The sequence below is a fragment of the Homo sapiens genome, chromosome 1, assembly GCF_000001405.40.
Source record: "Homo sapiens chromosome 1, GRCh38.p14 Primary Assembly".
Classification (NCBI taxonomy): domain Eukaryota; kingdom Metazoa; phylum Chordata; class Mammalia; order Primates; family Hominidae; genus Homo; species Homo sapiens.
In genome coordinates this window covers 46881370-46901779 of record NC_000001.11, presented here as the reverse complement: position 1 = coordinate 46901779, position 20410 = coordinate 46881370, and the positions used below count along the sequence as shown (strand labels likewise).

The 20410-nt window shown below is 40.4% G+C and overlaps 2 pseudogenes across 1 annotated transcript in view; one reads left to right on the top strand and one right to left on the bottom strand.

Moving 5' to 3' along the window:
* Positions 1 to 1304: 1304 nt before the first annotated feature.
* The window catches only part of CYP4Z2P (cytochrome P450 family 4 subfamily Z member 2, pseudogene), a 57381-nt pseudogene continuing 38275 nt past the window's right edge, over positions 1305 to 20410 (top strand). Inside the window, exons 1-6 of the transcript NR_002788.2 lie at positions 1305 to 1522; positions 2796 to 2937; positions 14485 to 14529; positions 16197 to 16324; positions 18484 to 18608; positions 18688 to 18842. The product of NR_002788.2 is annotated as a cytochrome P450 family 4 subfamily Z member 2, pseudogene (transcript). The remainder of the gene's footprint in view (positions 1523 to 2795; positions 2938 to 14484; positions 14530 to 16196; positions 16325 to 18483; positions 18609 to 18687; positions 18843 to 20410) is intronic.
* TUBAP8 (tubulin alpha pseudogene 8) lies at positions 8950 to 10151 on the bottom strand (annotated as a pseudogene).

Here is a 20410-nt window from a genome sequence, read left to right as displayed (position 1 = left end):
CCATGTTGGCACACTAGATATCAGGGGAACCAGCCCCCAGTATTTCAATGTAGGTTCTTTCTATTTTCCCTAAGTGTTGGCCAGTCTGAGAAATAAAGAGAAAGAGTACAAAGAGAGAAATTTTACAGCTGGGCCTCCGGCAGCGTCATCACATATTGGTAGGACCATGATGGTGACCCCAAGCCACAAAACCAGCAAGTTTTCATTAGGGATTTTAAAAGGGGAGGGGGTGTACCAACAGGGAGTAAGTCACAAAGATCACATGCTTCAAAGGGCAATAAAGGTCACAAGGCAAGGCAAAATTAGAATTACTGATGAGGGCCTATGTCCCACTGTGCACACATTGTCTTGATAAACATCTTAACAAGAAACAAGATTCGAGAGCAGACAACCAGTCTGACTAGAATTTACCAGGCTGGAATTCCCCAATCCTATAAGCCTGAGGGTACTGCAGGAGACCAGGGCATATTTCAGTCCTTATCTCAACTGCATAAGGCAGACCCTCCCAGAGTGGTCGTTTATAGACCTACCCCCAGGAATGCATTCCTTCCCCAGGGTTATCAATTATTAATATTCCTTGCTGGGAAAAGAATTCAGTGATATTTCTCCTACTCACATGTCCATCTATAGGCTCTCTGCAAGAAGAAAAATATGGCTCTATTCTGCCCAACCCCACAGGCAGTCAGACCTTAGGGCTATCTTCCCTTGTTCCCTGAAAATCGCCATTATTCTGTTCTTTTTCAGGATGCACTGATTTCATATTGTTCAAACACACATGTTGTACAATTTGTACAGTTAACACAATCATCAGAGGGTCCTGAGGTGATGTACATTCTCAGCTTATGAAGATAACAGGATTAAGAGGTTAAAGACAAGCATAAGAAATTATAAGAGTATTAATTGGGGAAGTGATAAATGTCCATGAAATCTTCACAATTTATGTTCAGAGACTGCAGTAAAGACAGGCATAAGAAATTATAAAAGTATTAATTTTGGGAACTGATAAATATCCATGAAATCTCCACAATTTATGTTCTTCTGCCTCAGCTCCAGCCAGTCCCTCTGTTCAGGGTCCCTGACTTCCCGCAACAGGTATGAGCTGTCATGCACATGGCTCCTATCTGAAAATCTAGTTCTTCTGGAATCTGGAACTGCTGGGCAACATCTCAGCAGTTTTCACCCTGCAGACTTAATTAGCTTCCTCTTCCTTATGTACCCTCTCTTAATATGGTATTTTGAAAGCCCAGTGTTGCCCAGGGGGCATCTCCTTTGGGTTTATGAGAGACCTGCATTCTCCCTGGCCCAGTTCTCTCAGGCTTTCCAGAGCTCAGGACCTCTGAGAAGAATGGAGCCCTCCTGGCTTCAGGAACTCATGGCTCACCCCTTCTTGCTGCTGATCCTCCTCTGCATGTCTCTGCTGCTGTTTCAGGTAATCAGGTTGTACCAGAGGAGGAGATGGACGATCAGAGCCATGCACCTGTTTCCTGCACCCCCTGCGCACTGGTTCTATGGCCACAAGGAGGTAAGAGGGGAAAATTAGTTGGGGAGGTTAAGGAACAGAAAGATGAGGTATTAAAAAAAACAGCACATATTGGTGGGGCATTATGTAATATGCAAAATGCTTTCACACCAATCTCATTTGATATTTACAAAAATTCTATGATAGGGGAGGAAACATATTGTTATTCCTATTTTACAGGTAAGAAAACTGAAGCCTAAAATAGAGATGCAACTTTCCTGTGCTACCCATCTCATAAATGACAGAAATGAAACTTGAACCCTGGTCTCCTGCTTCAAGGCCAAGGTCTTTACTACTTTCAGGACTCTGGGTGTTCTACAGAGAAATAGACCAAGCCAATTGTTAACAGGAAATATGCAAAGATGCTACAGCTTCTAATGAAGCTGGAAATAGGAAAACATTTGACAAATTAGAAAGGAAAGTTGAAAGATGAGCAGCAACCACAAAGGAGTAAAAGGCATGTGAGAGGCCAGGCATGGTGGCTCACGCCTGTAATCCCAGCACTTTGGGAGGCTGAAACAGGCAGATCATGAGGTCAGGAGATCAACACCATCCTGGCTAACATGGTGAAACCCCGTCTCTACTAAAAATACAAAAAATTAGTCGGGTGTGGTGGCGGGCACCTGTAGTCCCAGCTACTCGGGAGGCTGAGACAGGAGAATGGTGTGAACCCAGGAGGTGGAGCTTGCAGTGAGCCAAGATAGCACCACTGCACTCCAGCCTGGGAGACAGAGCAAGACTCCACCTCAAAAAAAAAAAAAAAAAAAAAAAAGGCATGTGAGACTTCGCTGCTTTGGAGACAGATAAAGCATGAGCGGGTATATCCAGAGCAAAGATGAGGTAGGGAATCAGTGGTTACTAACGGTTTACCTTGTGCCAGGAATTTTATGTTTATAATCTCACTTAATTTTCATGGCAGCTTTGTGAAATATATTTGGTTTTCCTAATATATATTTCTGTGAGGAAATCATGGCCCTAATGACGTAGATAATTTAAAAGTGTCAGAACTGGGATTTGAACTTAAATGTCCAAAGTTGACGCTGGAGTGAGAAGACCAATCGCTCAGCAACAGGTCCTGAGCACTTGCCCTGGGCCAGGAAGATTCCGTGGAGGTGCCGGAGTCACATGGAGAAGAAAACTTGCCGTCAGCAGATGTGAACCTGTCTGATGGGGTGGTGTCCACAGACCCTCAATTTAGCACATGGTCCATCTGAGGGAAAGGGATCCTCCTGGGATGACAACCTTTACTAACCAGTCATGACTTATCTTATGACAGTCTTACCCAGTAAAAGAGTTTGAGGTGTATCCTGAGCTGATGGAAAAATACCCATGTGCCGTTCCCTTGTGGGTTGGACCCTTTACGATGTTCTTCAATATCCATGACCCAGACTATGTCAAGATTCTCCTGAAAAGACAAGGTAAAAACCAAGAGGGGCTCACAGTACACAGCAGCAAAAAAGAGGGTCTCAGGGTGTCTGTGGCACTAGGGAAGGACAGGTTGAAGCATTTTTAAGGGAAATCCAACATTTGATAGGTTGAAGGGAAGATTCCATGTCCTCCTCAACATCATAGTCAGGACTCTATTGAGGGTTGTTGTAGAGGATTCTCTGATCCATTTCCAAGCAATCTTCTCTCCCTACATGACAAATTTTTTCTGATGCTTCCATCACATTTACTTACCTCAGACCCCCAGGACTACCACTTACCACCACTGTGAACATACAGTGGGTTGGGCATGCAGTGGTGGTTTGCTTACAATTGGCTTAACGCCAGTGCTGCACAGAGATGAGTGTTCCCCATAGATGCTTTGCCTACTAATCATGCCTGTCCTCTGGGAATGGCCAGTGCCAGGTGGAGGCTCTGGCAAGTGGACACCAGTTCTCCATCTGGTCCCTAGTGTCGGAATTCCGTGGAATTGCAGAGCTGCTTCTTGGCTGTGGCAAGATGTGTGTAGGATTCCCCCACTGGGCTTTCCTCAACTGCCTGTTGGCATATAAGGCTGGCCTTCGCCTCACTCTCCCAGCTACCTACATGAGTTACTCAGTTATAAAATGCCTCCATACCACTCTTGGTGCTTCTGCAAAATTTCAAGCAGCCTGTGGCTCTCTCATTTCACAGGGCACTCTGCCAGAATCACCATCTCAGCTTTCTTCCTGGTAATGGTGCAAGAAATGTCTGGCTATCCAGTTTCAAACTTTACTCTGCTCCCCTTTATGCTCTGCTCTCACCTTTGGACCTTTGCCCAAAAGGGATGAAAGAGGAAAGTGATTGTTTCTCCTTTGGAGTTATTTTCTCTTCTTTATCTACAAATTCTCTCTTCAGTGTGTTCACTCCCTTGAGGAGGGAGCCTTAGTTTTTGGCTGTTTTTCTTTTTTTGTGGTTGGTTGTAAGGGCATCTGGGCAGGCCATACAGGGAAAGCCATCCTTCCTGTTCATATTTTCTTCAGTCCCCATTGTCTTCAACTCACAACCTTAGCTCCTTCCCAGAGAAGCCAAGAATTTCTCTCCCTCTCTTGCTTTTTTTCTCTTACTGTTTTGTTTTCTTTTCCTTTGGTTTGTATTCCCTGCTGGTGCCTAAAATTGTCTCCTCCTCAGAGAAAAGGATAATTTTATGCCTTGAAGTGTGATAACTGTACAGTTACATGAGAAAAGAGCAGAATAATATACAGAGTATGGGATGTTAAGTTATTTATCTGCCACACATTAGTACTTCTTTTTGAGTCCCACTGCAGAAGCACAGTGGCCAAAAAAGGAGAGCTGAGAATCCTGCTCTTATTATTTCTGGCCAGACCCACCCAAATCATCTTATCCCCAGCTTTTTATTTTGAAAATTTTCAACCCTACAAGAGAAATTTTGAACACCCATTGTACCCTTCTCTAGTGTCATTAATTGATATCATATTCCCATATGTGCTTTTCTTTTAATTACATTCATTTTATTGTGGTAAAATATACATAACCTAAAAATTTACCATTTTAAATCACTTTTAAGTATACAGTTTAATGGCATTAAATACATTTACATTGTTGTGCAACTATCACCGCCATCCATCTTCAGAACTTTTTCATCTTCCCAAACTGGAACTCTGTACACATTAAACTCTAACTCCCCATTTTCCCCTCCCCCCAGCCTCAGGCAACAACCATTCTACTTTCTGTCTTTTTAAATTTCCCTATTCTAGGTACCTCCATAAGTAGAACCATACAATATTGTCCTTTTGTAACTGGCTTATTTCATGTAGCATAATGTCCTCAAGGTTCATCCATGTTGTAGTATATATCAAAACGTCCTTTCTTTTTAAGGCTGAATTTCCATTGTATGTATGTACCACATTTTGTTTATCCATTCCTCTGACAATGGACACTTGGATAACTTCTATCAGTTGGCTTTTGTGAATAATGCTGTCATGAACATGCATGTACAAATATCTGTTTGGGTCCTTTCAATTATTTCAAGTTGATACCAAAAAGTGGAATTACTGAGTCACATGATAATTCTATATATAATTTTTTGAAGAACTGTGATAGCATTTTCCACAGTGGCTGCACCATTTCACATACCCACCAGCAATGCACAAGGGTTCCAATTTCTTCACGTTCTCACCAACATTTGTTATTTTCTGGGGATTTAAAAAATAATAATAATAGCTACAATGGCTCACACCTGTAATCCCAGCACTTTGGGAGGCCAAGGCAGGCAGATCACTTGAGCCCTGGAGTTTAAGACCTGAGCAACATGAAAAAATCCCATCTCTATTTAAAAAAAAATAGACCAGATGCAGTGGCTCAAGCCTGTAATCCTAGTACTTTGGGAGGCCAAGTCAGGCAGATTACTTGAGGTCAGGAATTCAAGACCAGCCTGGCCAACATGGTGAAACCCCGTCTCTACTAAAAAAAATACAAAAATTAGCCAGGCGTGGTGACACATGCCTGTAGTCCCAACTACTTGGGAGGCTGAGGGAGGAGAATTGCTTGAACCTGAGAGGCAGAGGTTGCAATGAGCTGAGATAGTACCACTGCACTCCAGCCTGGGTGACAGAGCAAGACTTCGTCTCAAGAAAAAAAAATAATAAAAAATATGTTGTATTATTTAAACTAATACTAATAATAGCTATCCTAATGGATGTGAAATGGTATCTTATGGTGGTTTTTATTTGCATTTCTCTAATGATTAATTATGTTGAACATCTTTTCATATGCTTACTGGCCACTTATATATCAACTTCGGGGAAATGTCTATTCAAGTTTGCTGCACCTTTTTCAATTGGTTCTTTGGTTTCTTTTGTTGTTGAGTTGCAGTAGTTCTTTATATCTTCTGGATATTAATCCTTATCAGATATATGATTTGTAAATATCTTCTCCCATTCTGTTGGTGTCTTTTTTACTCTGTTGATAGTGTTCTTTGGTGAGCAAAAGTTTTTTATTTTATCAAGTCCAGTTTATCTATTTTTTCTTTCACTGCCTGTGCTTTTGGCATCATATCCAAAAAATTATTGCCAACTCCTATGTCATGAAGTTTTCCTTATGTTTTCTTCTAAGAGTTTTAAGTTGTAGCTCTCACATTCAGTTCTTTGATTCATTTAGTGTTAATTTTTTATATGGTATAAAGTCTGCATTTGCTCATAGATGGATGGATGATAGATAGATAGATAGATAGATAGCCAGAGCCAAACAACTTTTTATGCATAAGTTTTATCTGAGTTAATAGAGGTTAAAAAAATAGGGATTTTCTATTTCTTCTCCATTTTTCAGCTTTCCCTATCTATAATGAGGAACTTTCCTCCTCTCCCCACCCCCATCTGCCTTTCTCTCACTGTCTCACTTTCTGTCCCTCTGTTTCTCTTTCTGCATACCAGTAAGGATTCATGGATTGTTAAGAAATCAGTGTATTGAATTTCATTATCATCATCTTTTTTGATGGCCAAATTGTCCCAGATATGGAGAAGGAGACAAAGCAAGAGAAGAGGCTGGTAGACATGGGCCCAGTCATTCAGAACTTTGTAGGCTGAGTAATGGTGAGCATCAAAGGAGAGAAGTACTGTGAATATCTGTGTGTTTTGAAACATCACTCAGACAGCTGTATGATGAATGGCTGGAGGGAATCAAGGCTGGAGACCAGGAATCCACCTTATCCTGCTGCACTGTCCAAAGGACAGATGATGGAGGCCTGGACAAAGGTAGAGGGGTGGAGGTGGAAATAATTGTATGAATTCAAGAGATACTAATGAATGTACCAATATTTTTGACATGGGGGTATCAAGCTGTCAAGCAGTCCCTAAGCTACTTAGCTGGTTCACTGCACATTCATAAATTCAGTCAGCAAAAAGCCAGCAGGCCTGAATGGATTTAGACTGTTTATTACTCATGGCATAATAGGTATCATGAGCTTCACATTAACATCGGCCCCACTATCTCCCTAAGTCCTATAGGGGCAATGCAGAGGAACTCAGGTTAGTACTGTGCACACCAGGGTCTGTGTTACATTTGAGGAATTCAGACACGACAAGATCCTGACCATATATAGGGGCTATTGCCAAAAATGCTCTTCCTCACCCCTAGAAATAGGCATTGACTTTTATGTGTGTGACAAAATACACATAAGGTTTGCCATTTAACCGTTTTAAAGATCCAATTCAGGGACACTAAGTATATTCACAGTGCTATCCACCTATCATCTCTGTCTAGTTCCAGAATTTTTCATCAGTCCAGACAGAAACCTCATACCCATTTTAAGCAGTTATTCCCCATTCCTCCCTTGCCCCAGTCACTGGCAACTACTAATCTGCATTTTTGTCTCTATGAATTTACTTATTCTGGATTTTTCATATAAATGGAATCACACAATATGTGACCCTTTGCATTTTGCTTTTTTCACTTAGCATAATGTTTTCAAGATTCATACATTTTGTAGCATTGTTTCTTTTCATGAATTATATTCTACTGTATGAATATACCACATTTTGTTTATGCATTCATCTGTTAATAGACCTTTGAATTGTTTCAACTTTTGGCCATTATGCATAATGCTGATTTCATAAAAATGAAAAGCTTTTGTGTGTCAAGGGCCACTAAAAGCAACCTGTGCCTCCTGGGTTCAAGTGATTCTCCTGCCTCAGTCTCCCAGGTAGCTGGGACTACAGGCGTGCACTACCAAACCTGACTAATTTTGTATTTTTAGTAGAGATGGGGTTTCACCATGTTGGCCAGGCTGGTCTCAAACTACTGACAAGTAATCCACCCGCCTCAGCCTCCCAAAGTGCTGAGATTACAGGCATGAGCCAACGCACCAGGCCAAGACAAATTTTATTTTAATTTGCATTTCCCTAATGACTGAATATCATCTTATTGTTTGCCCATTGATGCTGAATATCATCTTATTTGTTTGCTGGCCCATTGTTTATCTTTGGAGATGTCTATTCAAGTCCTTTGCCCGTGATTAATTGGGCTGTCTTTTTATTGTTCAGTTGTAATAGTTTTTAAATATATATAGTACACAAGTTTTTTTATCAGATATATGATCTGCGAACATTTTCTATTATTTTGTGGTTTGTCTTTTAACCCTTTTAGTGGCCCTTGATACACAAAAGCTTTTCATTTTTATGAAATCTAACTTATTTATTTTTCCTTTTGTGGCCTGTGCTTTTACTATCATTTTTAAGAAACCATTGCCCAGTCCAAATTCATGAAGACCCTCCCCTATTTTTTCTTCTAAGAGTTTTATAGTTTTGACTCTTATACATAGGTCTTTAGTCCTTTTTTTGGGTAAAAGAAGCCTAAAGTAGGGGCATTTGTTTATTTATTTATTTATCTTTTATTTTAGATTAAGAGGTACATGTGCAGGCTTCTTACCTGGGTATACTGCATGATACTGTGAAGTTTGGGGTATAAATGATGCCATCACCCAGGTGCTGAGCACAGTACCCAACAATTAGTTTTTCAATCCTTGCCCCCTTTCCTTCCTCCCCCACCCCAGTAGTCCAGAGTGTCTATTGTTGCCATCTTTATGTCCATGAGTACTGAATGTTTAACTCCTACTTAAAAGTGAGATCATGAAGTATCTGGTTTTCTGTTCCTACATTAATTCACTTAGGATAATGTCCTGCACCTGCATCCATGTTGCTGCAATGATGTGATTTCATTGTTTTTTTTCCCCCTTTGGTACATTTTTAGTTAATTTTTGTATATAGAGTGAGATAAAGGTACACTTAATTATTGTGCCCACAGGTATTTAGTTTTCCCAGCACCATTTCTTGAAGAGACCATTCTCCCCATTGAATGGTATTTGCATCCTTGTTGAAAATGAATTGACAACAGATGTATGGGTTTATTTTTGGACTCTGATATCTACACTTAATGGCAGTACCACATTGTTTTGGTGACTATAGCTTTGCAGTAAGTTTCAAATCAAGGTGTATGAGTTCTCCAGCTTTGGCAGGCTTATCATACATCAGGTCAAACTTGTGGTCCAGGCAAGCCCAGGCCTCAGCAACTGCTGTGGTGTTGCTCAGCATGTACACAGGTCTCTATACCTTGACCAGGTCTCCACCAGGTACCTCACTGGGGGGCTGGTAATTAATACCAACCTTAAAGCCAATGGGATGCCAATCCACAAACTGGATGGTAGGCTTGGTCTTGATGGTGGTGATGGCAGCATTGACATCTTTGGGGACCATGTCCCCATGGTACAACAGGCAGCAAGCCATGTATTTACCATGGCAAGAGTCACATTTCACTATCTGGTTGGCTGGCTAAAAGCAAGCACTGGTGATCTCTGCTACAACAAGCTGTTCGTGATAGGCTTTCTCAGCAGAGATGGTGGGGGAATATGTGGCCAGAGGGAAGTGGATGCAGAGACAGGGCACCATTTTGGTCTAGACTTCTGTCAGATTAACTTTCAGGGCTCCATCAAATCTGAGGGAAGCAATGATGGAGGACACAATCTGGCTAATAAGGCAGTTAAGGCTAGTATAGGTTGGGCATTCAATATTGAGGTTTCTCCACAGATGTCATAGATGGCCTCATTGTCTACCATGAAGGCACAATCAGAGTGCTACAGGGTGGTATGGGAGATGAAGATAGAGCTATACAACTATAGCTGTGGAAATATGGGGGGTTGGGTATGCGGAGAACTCCAACTTGGACTTCTTGCCATAATCAACAGAAAGAACATTCCACCAGCAGAGAAGTGAACCCAGAACAAGTCCCCTCACCAAAGCAGTAAAAAACCAAGAAGTTCTGAAGACCTGTGCACTAGTCAACCAGCTTGCAAATTCAGTCCAAGATGAGGTCAATATAATCCCCTTTCCTATGCAAAAGTGCCCTCAAGTATAGTTATAGGCAGCATCTTCCTTGCTTGTGATGAGCTGCCCAGGGTGGAAGAGCTGGAAGTAGGTGCCAGTGTGAACTTTGTCAATGACCCTGGGTTCAACATCTACAAATACTGACCTAGTCACATGGTTGGCAGCACCTGTCTCACTGAAGAAGGTATTGAAGGAGTTATTTCCTCCCACACTAGTCTTGTCTCTTGGCCTTGCCATCAGGCTAGAGGCCATGTTCCAGGCAGTAGAGATCCTAGCAGGAACTGCCAATCTGGACATCAGCCTAGCCAACATGGAGATGCACTCACCTATGACAGGGACCTGTAAGGTTCTGCAAGGCTGAAGGAGGTGAAGGGACAGCAACAAGGATCTCCCACTAACAGACCACCACGGAGTCCAAGGGAGTAGTCCATAGTGTCCTCTTATAATCCTTTTATTATCTGTAATAATAAGTTGATAGTAACGTTCCCACTTTCACTTCTGATTGTAGTAACTTGATTCTTCTCACTTTTCTTCATAGTTCATCTAATTAAAGTTTTGTCAATTTTGTTAATCTTCTCAAAGAAATAACTTTTTGTTTGTTAATTTTTTTCTATTGTTTTTCCTGTTTTTATTTTATTTACCTCAGCTCTAATCTTTATCATTTCCTTCCTTCAGTAGCTTTGGGTTTCATTTGCCCTTCTTTTTCCAGTTCATTAAAGTGTACAGTTAGGTTATTGATTTAAGGAATTTATTTTTTAATGAAGACATTTAAGCTATAAAAATCTCATTAAGCACTGCTTTTGCTGAATCCCATAACATTGGGTAAGTTGTTTTCATTTTCATTTGCCTCAAAATATTTTCTAATGTCTTTTATGATTTATTCCTTGTCCCTTTGGTTGTTTAAGAATGTCTTGTTTAATATTCATGTTTTGTGAATTTTCCCGTTTTACTTCTGATATTGATTTCTAGTTTTATTCTATGGAGAGGTATTTTTGTATGATTTCAATCTTTTTAAATTTATTGAGACTCTTTTTGTGACTTACCATATGATCTATGCTAAAGAATGACCCATGTGTACTTGAGAAGAACATGTAATCTGCTGTTGTTAGGTGGAGCTTTTAGAACATGTCTGTTTGGCATAATTATAGTGTTGTTCAAGTTCTCTATTTCCTTATTAATTTTTTGTATCATTGTTCTGTCCATTATTGAAAGGGATGTAGTGAATTCTCCAATTATAATTTTAGAACTGTCTATTTCTCCCTTCAAAGCTGTCAGCTTTTGCCTCATATACTGTGGGGTTCTATTGTTAGGTATATATTTATATATTATAACTGTTATATCTTCTTGATGGATTGACCCCTTAACAATATATAATGTCTTTCTTTGTGTCACAATATTTTAAAGTATAGTTAACTGATAATCACCCAGCTCTCTTTTCCTTACTGTTTGCATAGAATACCTTTTCTACCCTTTTACTTTTAACCTCTTTGTTTCTTCAGATCTAAAGTGAGTCTCTTGTAAGCAGCATATTAATGGATCCCATTTTTTTAGTCCATTCTGCCAGTCTCTGCCTTTTAATTGAAGTTTAATCCATTTACATTTAAAATAATTACTGATAAGGAAGGACTTATTTCTAACATTTCACTGTTTGTTTTTTATATGTCTTTTTTTTTTTTTTTTTTAGAGACAGGGTCTTGCTCTGTCACCTAGGGTAGGGTCCAGTGGTGTCATCATAGCTCACTGCATCCTCTAGCTCCTGGGCCCAAGTAATCCTCCCACTTCAGCCTCCTGAGCAGTTGTAACTATAGGCCTGCACCACTATGCCTGGCTAATTTTTTCTTTTGTATAGACAAGGGTCTCACTATGTTGTCCAGGCTGGTCTCAAACTCCTGGCTTCGAACAATGCTTCCCCCTCAGTCTCCCAAAGTGCTGAGACTACAGGTGTGACCCACTGTGCTCAGCCTGTCATATATATTTTATGTTCCTCACTTCCTCCATTACTGCCTACTTTGGTGTTTAATTGATTTTTGGTTTTTGGTATGGTAACATTTTTATGTTACTCTTCTCATTTCCTTTTCTGTATATTTTCAGTTATTTTCATAGTGATTAACATGGGATTAAAATTAATACCTTAAACCTATTGGAAATTTTTAACCATTATTTCTTCAACTTAGTTTTCTCTCTTTGCTCTTCTGGGACTCCAATTATGCATATGTTAGTATGCTTGATGGTGTCTCACAGGTCTCTTAGGACCATTCATTTTTTCATTCTGTTTCCTATTTCTGCTCCTCAGATTCAAGAATCTCAATTGACCTAACTCCAACTTTGATAATTTTTTCTCTGCCTGCTCAAATCAACTGTTGAAACCTTAGGAACTTTTTATTTCAGTTACTGTATACTCCAGTTCTAGAACTTTATTTGTTTCTGTTTACAACTTATATGTCTTTGTTAATATTCTCTATTTGTTCATACATGAGTATTTTGGTTTTGTTTCATCTTTGGCCATGGTTTATTGTAGGTCTTTGAGCATATTGAAGACAGTTGATTTAAAGTTGTCTAGTAAGTCCAACGTCTATGCTTCCTCAATAACATTTTCTTTTCATTTCTTTTTCCTGTGCATAGGCCATACTTCCTTGTTTCTTTTACATGATTTGTAATTTTTTTGTTTAAAACTGAACATTTTAAATGTTATGTAAGAAAAAAAGGAATAAAAGAAAAAAAGGTAGGAAAGAAAATAAAAATACTCTCCAGGTCTTTCCTGGTTGGTTCTGGGTTGGGGCACACCTCTAATATTTAATCAGGGCATTTACAAGTTTGCCTTAGCTTTCTCTTTCTTCTTGCACTTTGTGTAAGGACTAGTCAAAGTTGAAAGCCTGTGGTCTTATCAGGTCTTTTCCAACCATGCATCCTACCCTGGGTATGTGTAGGTTCCCTGTTATATGTGAGAACTTTTTAAAGCATTGATTCCAAAACAAAATTCTCATTCCCAGCTTTTCCTTCTAGATTTTGGTGTGTTTATTATTGCCTCAATTGTTCTTTTTTGTCCCAGGAATCAGTGCTAGTTCTTTTGCCTCTCAATGTTTTTGAGGAACACTTCCCTGCCCTGAGAGAATTCTGAGTTAGGTAAAACATAGGAAAGCCCCTCTCCTTCAGAAAACCCACACAGAAGTCAAAACAAACAAAATTCCTTGAGAACAAGGACCACTCTGCTTTCTCTAGGATCCAGGAATCAGAACCCACTGAGAATGCAGGCTGCCATCTTCAAGATTGCCATGGTACTGGAGAGGGATGTGGGGCAAAGCTAAATTGCAATGCCACCAATCTTTTCTATCCTTTTTCAGTGGCCTTTCTTCTGATTAAGTGTGCACCTGGTTGCTGTAAACAATTAACTGTCTTCCAGAAATCTGCTAAAGTTGACTATAACAGTTTTTGCCAGATAATTTTTGTTTTTGCTTTGGGAAGGGATGGCCCTGGACAGTTCCTAATCCACCATTTTTGCTGATGTCACTCTTAGACATTATTTTTTAGGACCCTGGAATGTCTAGAGTAGAAAGGCTCACGCTTATTAGGCTTAAATGTAGACATACATACATTCTTTCCAAAATAGTTTTGGAAACATCCTTAACAATTCTATCAATCTCTTTTACCCATTTCTGAAGAAATGCCAGAATTATCTTCCAACAAGTAGATTAGGAGGATGAGAAAGTGGAATTAGTTAAGAAGGAGTCCCAACTTTTGGTAGGGAAAATAGGGAATACACTTGTGCCTTTAAGTGGATAGAGGAAGAGGAGGCTATCTGGTAGTGAAGGGATAGATCAGGTTTGGATTTGCTGGGGTCCTGAGGTGTCTGTGTGGTACACAAAGGGAAATGTCTAGAGGGCAGTGGTTTTATATTGAAGTCTATGGACAGAGGGAGAGAGAGAGAGAGAGAGAATACACTAGGGACTGAGAGAGTGAATGCCATAAGATATCTTCTTACCCTCAGAACTCAAGGTATTTTATAGGTTCATTTCACCTGGACTTCTGCAGAAAGTGAATCTCATGTTAACAATCCTCTCTTTTCCTAGATGTTCATATGTTTTCTCCCCCATTTTTATTTCCCTGTCTTTATCCCACATAAAGATGTTGATGGAATGAATAAAGGACACTAATTCTTGTTTTCCCAAAACTGTAAAACCTAGGTTATGTCCCTTATCTTTTCTTCTGATTCATTTATATACATCTTTCTCAAACAAATCCAACAAGGGTAAAATCTACAATTTATCTCAAAGTCATGTTCCTGTGTCTAGCTGTACATGTCTATGTGAAAAGGAACTGGAGCTTTAAAATGTTGTCAGAGTTCCCCAACAAAAACAAATGTATTTTTTCAACTTATGTTGAAAGAAAATTATACTCTGAAAATTATACAAAGGAAATTATGCTCTGTTTTCCACTGCTATTGACCTCGTAGCACCAAGTGCTGTGGAGAAAGAATAAACAAGTTCTCATTCTAATTCTGTGGCTTCCCTGGGACTCTCGGTACTGAAGAACTAGCCTCCAACCACCTTGCACACTAGCTATTTGTGTTACCCACAAGGAATATGGAAACATACAAAAATTTCCTCTCATTTTAACTCGTGATTTTCACTTAATGCCATCTTTTGCCTCCTTTGTTCTGTTTTACAGATCCCAAAAGTGCTGTTAGCCACAAAATCCTTGAATCCTGGGTTGGTATGTGTATTAGTCCATTCTCATTCTGCTATAAAGACATACCTGAGACTGGGTAACTTATAATGAAAAGAGGTTTAACCAACTCATGGTTCTATTGGCTGTACAGGGTTCTGCTTCTTGGGAGGCTGCAGGAAACTTACAGTTGTGGTGGAAGGAAAAGGAAAAGCAGGCACACCTTCACGTGGCCACCAGGAGTAGGGGTGGAGTGTTACACATTTTTAAACAAGCAGATCTAGGGAGAATTCTATCACAAGAACAGTAAGGGGAAAATCCACCCCCATGACTCAGTCACCTTCCACCAGGCCTCTCCTCCAACACTGAGGATTACAATTTGACATAAGATTCAGGTGGAGGCACAGAGCCAAACCATATCAGTATGTGTGTCTGATCCTTTCTCATCTGAGCCTGGTGGAGGTGGAGGTCGGGGGAGAAATTACTTTCCTGATAGACACGAAATGCTCCTGTCTCCCTCACCTTACCACAACCTACACTCGCTTTTGCTTCAGAAACCTGAGCTCAATCTTGCCTTGTCTTTCATAGCTTCTCCTCTTATTCTACCTGTTTGGGACTGGTCCTTTATTTCTGGTGTAACTAGGGGTAGGGGTGGAGGAATAAGAAGGGGCCCGGGGGGTTGTATGCTCTCCTCCTCACACCAACTGATGTCACTATCCCAGGTAGTCCCCACTTGAGGATCATGGAAAGAGAAGGAGAGTCCCTCAGCCTGCTAACATGGACCTTACTGAGAATGGTGCCCTGGAAGAGGTTGCCATTGTGAAAGTTGCTTAAGATCATTCTCTCTCCTTTTCCCTCCACACTTCCCCTCCCTTTTCTGGGCAACCTGCCTGTGCAGCTAAGCAAGTTCACACCAGAAGATTCAGGATCTGGGTAGTAGCCCCAGATCCCTGGATCAAACGTGCATGGGCACCTTCTCTCCCTCTCCTTAGATTTCCCACCTTACAGAGAATTTAAAATATTATTCACCACAAATTTCATTATCAGTTTTCCACAATCTAATTGCCCCTGGAAAATCTTGCTCTTGAGGATCCCTTTGAAAGAATCCACTCTCATAAACTAAGTCTTTTATGAACTCAGTGGAGACCTCAAACCCACTTGTCCAGCAGGAATGATAAAGAAAAGCCCCTTTAGTCCTCCATCATTGATCCTCAGCCTGAAGAGAAGCACAAAAGTGATGGAAAGAAAGCAGCACCTCTGCTTCAGTCTGGAACTTTGTGCCAGTCTAAGGCAGTATTTCTCAAAGTGTGGACCTGAACTAGCTGGGACCCTTGTCATAACTCAAAAGTCCTTGATTCTACTTCAACATCTAGGAATTATTGGCTCTGAAGGATTAAGCTAAGGAATCTGCCTCTAGCAAGCACCTCGGGCAATTCTCACCCACCCTAAATTTGAACTCTTATCAAGAGGCTGATGAATCTGACCATCAAATAGGATAGGATGGACCTTTTTTTGAGTTCATTGTATAAACAAATTTTCTGATTTGGACTTAATTCCCAAAGGGTTAGGTCTACTCCTGCTCATTCACTCTTTCAAAGCTCTGTCCACTCTAGCTTTTCTCCAGTGTCATAGATAGGGAATTGCTCGCTGCCTACCTAGTCTTTCTTCACTTACCTGGCCTGTGATAGAAACAGTTGCCCCTCTCATTTCATAAGGTCGAGGACTTGTGACCCTGGATGGTTCTAAATGGAAAAAGCACCGCCAGATTGTGAAACCTGGCTTCAACATCAGCATTCTGAAAATATTCATCACCATGATGTCTAAGAGTGTTCGGATGATGCTGGTAAGAGGAGAAGAGAGCATTCGTACCTGGCCTCTGAAGTGAGGTGCTGCCAGCCGTATGGTGTGGGAGACTCTGTGTTCCCTCAGAACCATGATCACAGCAGTTTATATGGGGTTATTTGATGTTTAGACCATGACCATCATCATCAGGGCAAGGACCCTGTCTTGTATACCCAACACTTCTCACAGGGATGGACTCAGGGTAGGTGCTCAATGAGAAGTAGCTGAATGAATGAGTGAGTGAGTCCAGTAGACTCACTACATTTGGAGAACACAAGGCAGAAGAGCAAAGACACCCACAGGAGTAGCCATGCCAACATAGAGAAATGTATCATGTTCAGGAGGTCGAGTCAGGAAAGACTTCCTAAGAAAGGTGACACGAGCTGAGTCTTGGAGAATGGGGAGGATTTCTAGAGATGGGGACTCAGAGAAAAGATGGCCTTGTGGTCAAGGAGAAAAGGGAGCTTTAGCTTTGGCTGAGGCAGAAGAGGGTGCAGAGATGTCACAAGACAATCTAGAACCCATAGAGAAGACACAGTTGTATGTATCCACACCTGTCCTCTTGGAGTTTGGATGGCAAAGACATGCGAGGTGGTTTTGAGCACACCTAAGGTCTGTTTCAGGGGTCCTGAATGAGGTGATTGCGACAACTCAAAGACTAAGTTTCTAAGATCCCAGGCATGGAGTAAAGCAATTCTATACACAGGATCTCAATCCTAGTCACAAAGACTTCTTAATGATACAGGGGCTCAGAGACATGGGTTCCCCTGAACACGTCAGCTTGGATTCATACTGGCCCCATATTTTCCAGTGTGCCATGTTGTTATCCTTTATGACCCTCGTCACCATGCCCATGTCCCATTCCAAAATAAAAATCAAAGCAAAACATATAAATATAGCGACTGCAAATACTTTTTAAGCACTTACTATGCATCAAGCTTATTATATCCTTTTATACTACTACAGTCTTACAATTTTGCTGTATTATCTCCATTTTGCTAGTAAGGATATTGAGATGCAGAGATTAAGCAGTTTGTTTAAAGTCACAAGGCAGGCCAGGTGCAGTGGCTCATGCCTGTAATCCCAGCACTTTGGGAGGCCAAGGTGGGCGGATGGCTTGAGCCCAGGAGTTCAAGACCAGCCTGGCCAACATGGCCAAACCCCATCTCTACTAAAAATACATGATCATAAGGCAGATTAGGGGAAGAGTTGAGTTCAAACTCAAGCCTCCTTGAGTTGGAAGAGCACACCCTGAACTGATGCACCTCTCTTCGAGTCTAAGGCTCCTTCCTGATGATGCCCCCTTCAGCCTGCTCCAACCACTGCCTCTCCTTGCAATGCCCTTACCCACATCCAAACAGACACCACCCCCATTATCACCTACCTCATGCTCTTTCTCTACTCTTCTTGGCTCCATGACAGTTGCAATCTTTCAGAACATCTGATTTTAGTAACATGTTTGGAAAAAAGCTTTCAAATTGAATTAATTAATTAATTCACATTACAGAGTTAATAACAGCTTAACAGTGTATAAATATTTATATTGAAATGGAGAACTTCGTCTCAATAAACATTTGGCTTTTGACAAAGTGAAATTTTCTGGGATATTGGCAGGTATGTCCAAGGGGGTAAATACATCTGAATTCTAATATATAGTTGAGGGTTTTCTGTCTTGACTCTTAACTGCAAACTCTTTGAGAACAAGAACTATCTCTAATTCCTTTCTAAATTCTCAATGGATCTGGGAAAAAACTTGTCAAGTACTAAATATTTTTAGGGATCTTTTCCTAGAATCAAAAACCTCTGTTTATTTATGCTCTCTACAGATGTTTTTGAATTCTTATTTATTTTTTATTCCATGTTTTGTCAGCTTAGTTTTTCCATGATAAAAGTCATATAAATTGTACTAATGAAACTTGAAAAAGAGGGAAAAATAGCTATTTCCCCACCCTTACAAAGTCACAAATAGCATCTAAGGCACAGTATCATTTTCAGTACTGACAAGGTGTTTTATTTTATATGGTTGTCATAATAAGGCAAATTCATTTTGTACACTTTATATTTTCAAACCCCAGCAAACTCTAAAAGGGACATAAAATAACTTAGAAATTGGGAAAAGATGGGCATGTGTATGATCATGATATTCATCCCCTGCCCCAGAACAAATGGGAGGAACACATTGCCCAAAACTCACGTCTGGAGCTCTTTCAACATGTCTCCCTGATGACCCTGGACAGCATCATGAAGTGTGCCTTCAGCCACCAGGGCAGCATCCAGTTGGACAGGTCAGTGGTAAAAGGAAGGTAATTGTTTGCCAATAACTGTGTCACCCACTAACATGTTGTTCCATCTTCCCTATTCCAGTACCCTGGACTCATACCTGAAAGCAGTGTTCAACCTTAGCAAAATCTCCAACCAGCGCATGAACAATTTTCTACATCACAACGACCTGGTTTTCAAATTCAGCTCTCAAGGCCAAATCTTTTCTAAATTTAACCAAGAACTTCATCAGTTCACAGGTTAGTCCTGGGATTTACATGGCCAGAGTCCACTATGAGACATCTCATTGTCTGAGACATTGACTCTGGTTATGGCTGCTTCTACTATGGACATATGGCATGGTCATCATTCAGAAATGCTAATTTGTACCTCTTAAATGAATGTGCTACATAAATGCTATGTAGAGGGTATTATATTATTGACTATATATAGCTGCATTTTAATGTTTGGAGTTAGAACTAATACAATAAGCAAAACATCTGTCTATTTTGCTTCATTTCTTATGGAGCAGCTTCAGATGTGAAGAAAAGTAAAAGTGAAAGGAAGTACATTTCTGTAGGAAGACAGAGCAGGACATCTGAGCAAGTACTGAACATGAGTGGGTACTGCCTACTATGCACAGTTCATCAAACAACACAGCACACCACTGAGGATTCCTTTTGCATGGGTTTTTGGGGACTTAGGACATAGATAACTTTGAGGGACCATAGGTCTACCTATGACAATAGCCATTTACAATTGGAATATATTTCTGATTTATCATTTTATCTTGATAAAATTGGCCTCTTTTTCTCTAATAATGCTTCTAGTCTTAAGATCTACTCTATCTGATACTAGTATGATAACCTCTGCTTTCCATTGGTTAGTATTTTGATAGTATATTATTCCATACTCTTTTATTTCCATTTCTGTGCCCTTATATTTGCGGTTTATGTATTTTTTTCTTTTTCTTTTCCTTTTTTTTATTATTATACTTTAAGTTCTAGGATACATGTGCACAACGTGCAGGTTACATATGTATACATGTGCCATATTGATGTGTTGCACCCATTAACTTGTCATTTACGTTAGGTATATCTCCTAATGCTATCCCACACCCCTCCCCCCACCCCACAACAGGCCCCAGTGTGTGATGTTCCCCTTCCTGTGTCCAAGTGTTCTCATTGTTCAATTCCCACCTATGAGTGAGACCATGTGGTGTCTGGTTTTTTGTCCTTGTGATAGTTTGCTGAGAATGATGGCTTCCAGCTTCATCCATGTCACTACAAAGGACATGAACTCATCCTTTTTTATGGCTGCATAGTATTCCATGGTGTAGACGTGCCACATTTTCTTAATCCAGTCTATCATTGTTGAACATTTGGCTTGGTTCCAAGTCTTTGCTACTGTGAAAAGTGCCACAGTAAACACACGTGTGCATATATCTTTACAGCAGCATGATTTATAATCCTTTGGGTATATACCCAGTAATGGGATGGCTGGGTCAAATGGTATTTCTAGTTCTAGATCCTTGAGGAATCGCCACACTGTCTTCCACAATGGATGAACTAGTTTGCAGTCCCAACAACAGTGTAAAAGTGTTCCTATTTCTCCACATCCTCTCCAGCACCTGTTGTTTCCTGACTTTTTAATGATTGCCATTCTAACTGGTGTGAGATGGTATCTCATTGTGGTTTTGATTTGCATTTCTCTGATGGCCAGTGATGATGAGCATTTTTTCATGTGTCTGTTGGCTGCATAAATGTCTTCTTTTGAGAAGTGTCTGTTCATATCCTTCACCCACTGTTTGATGGGGCTGTTTGTTTTT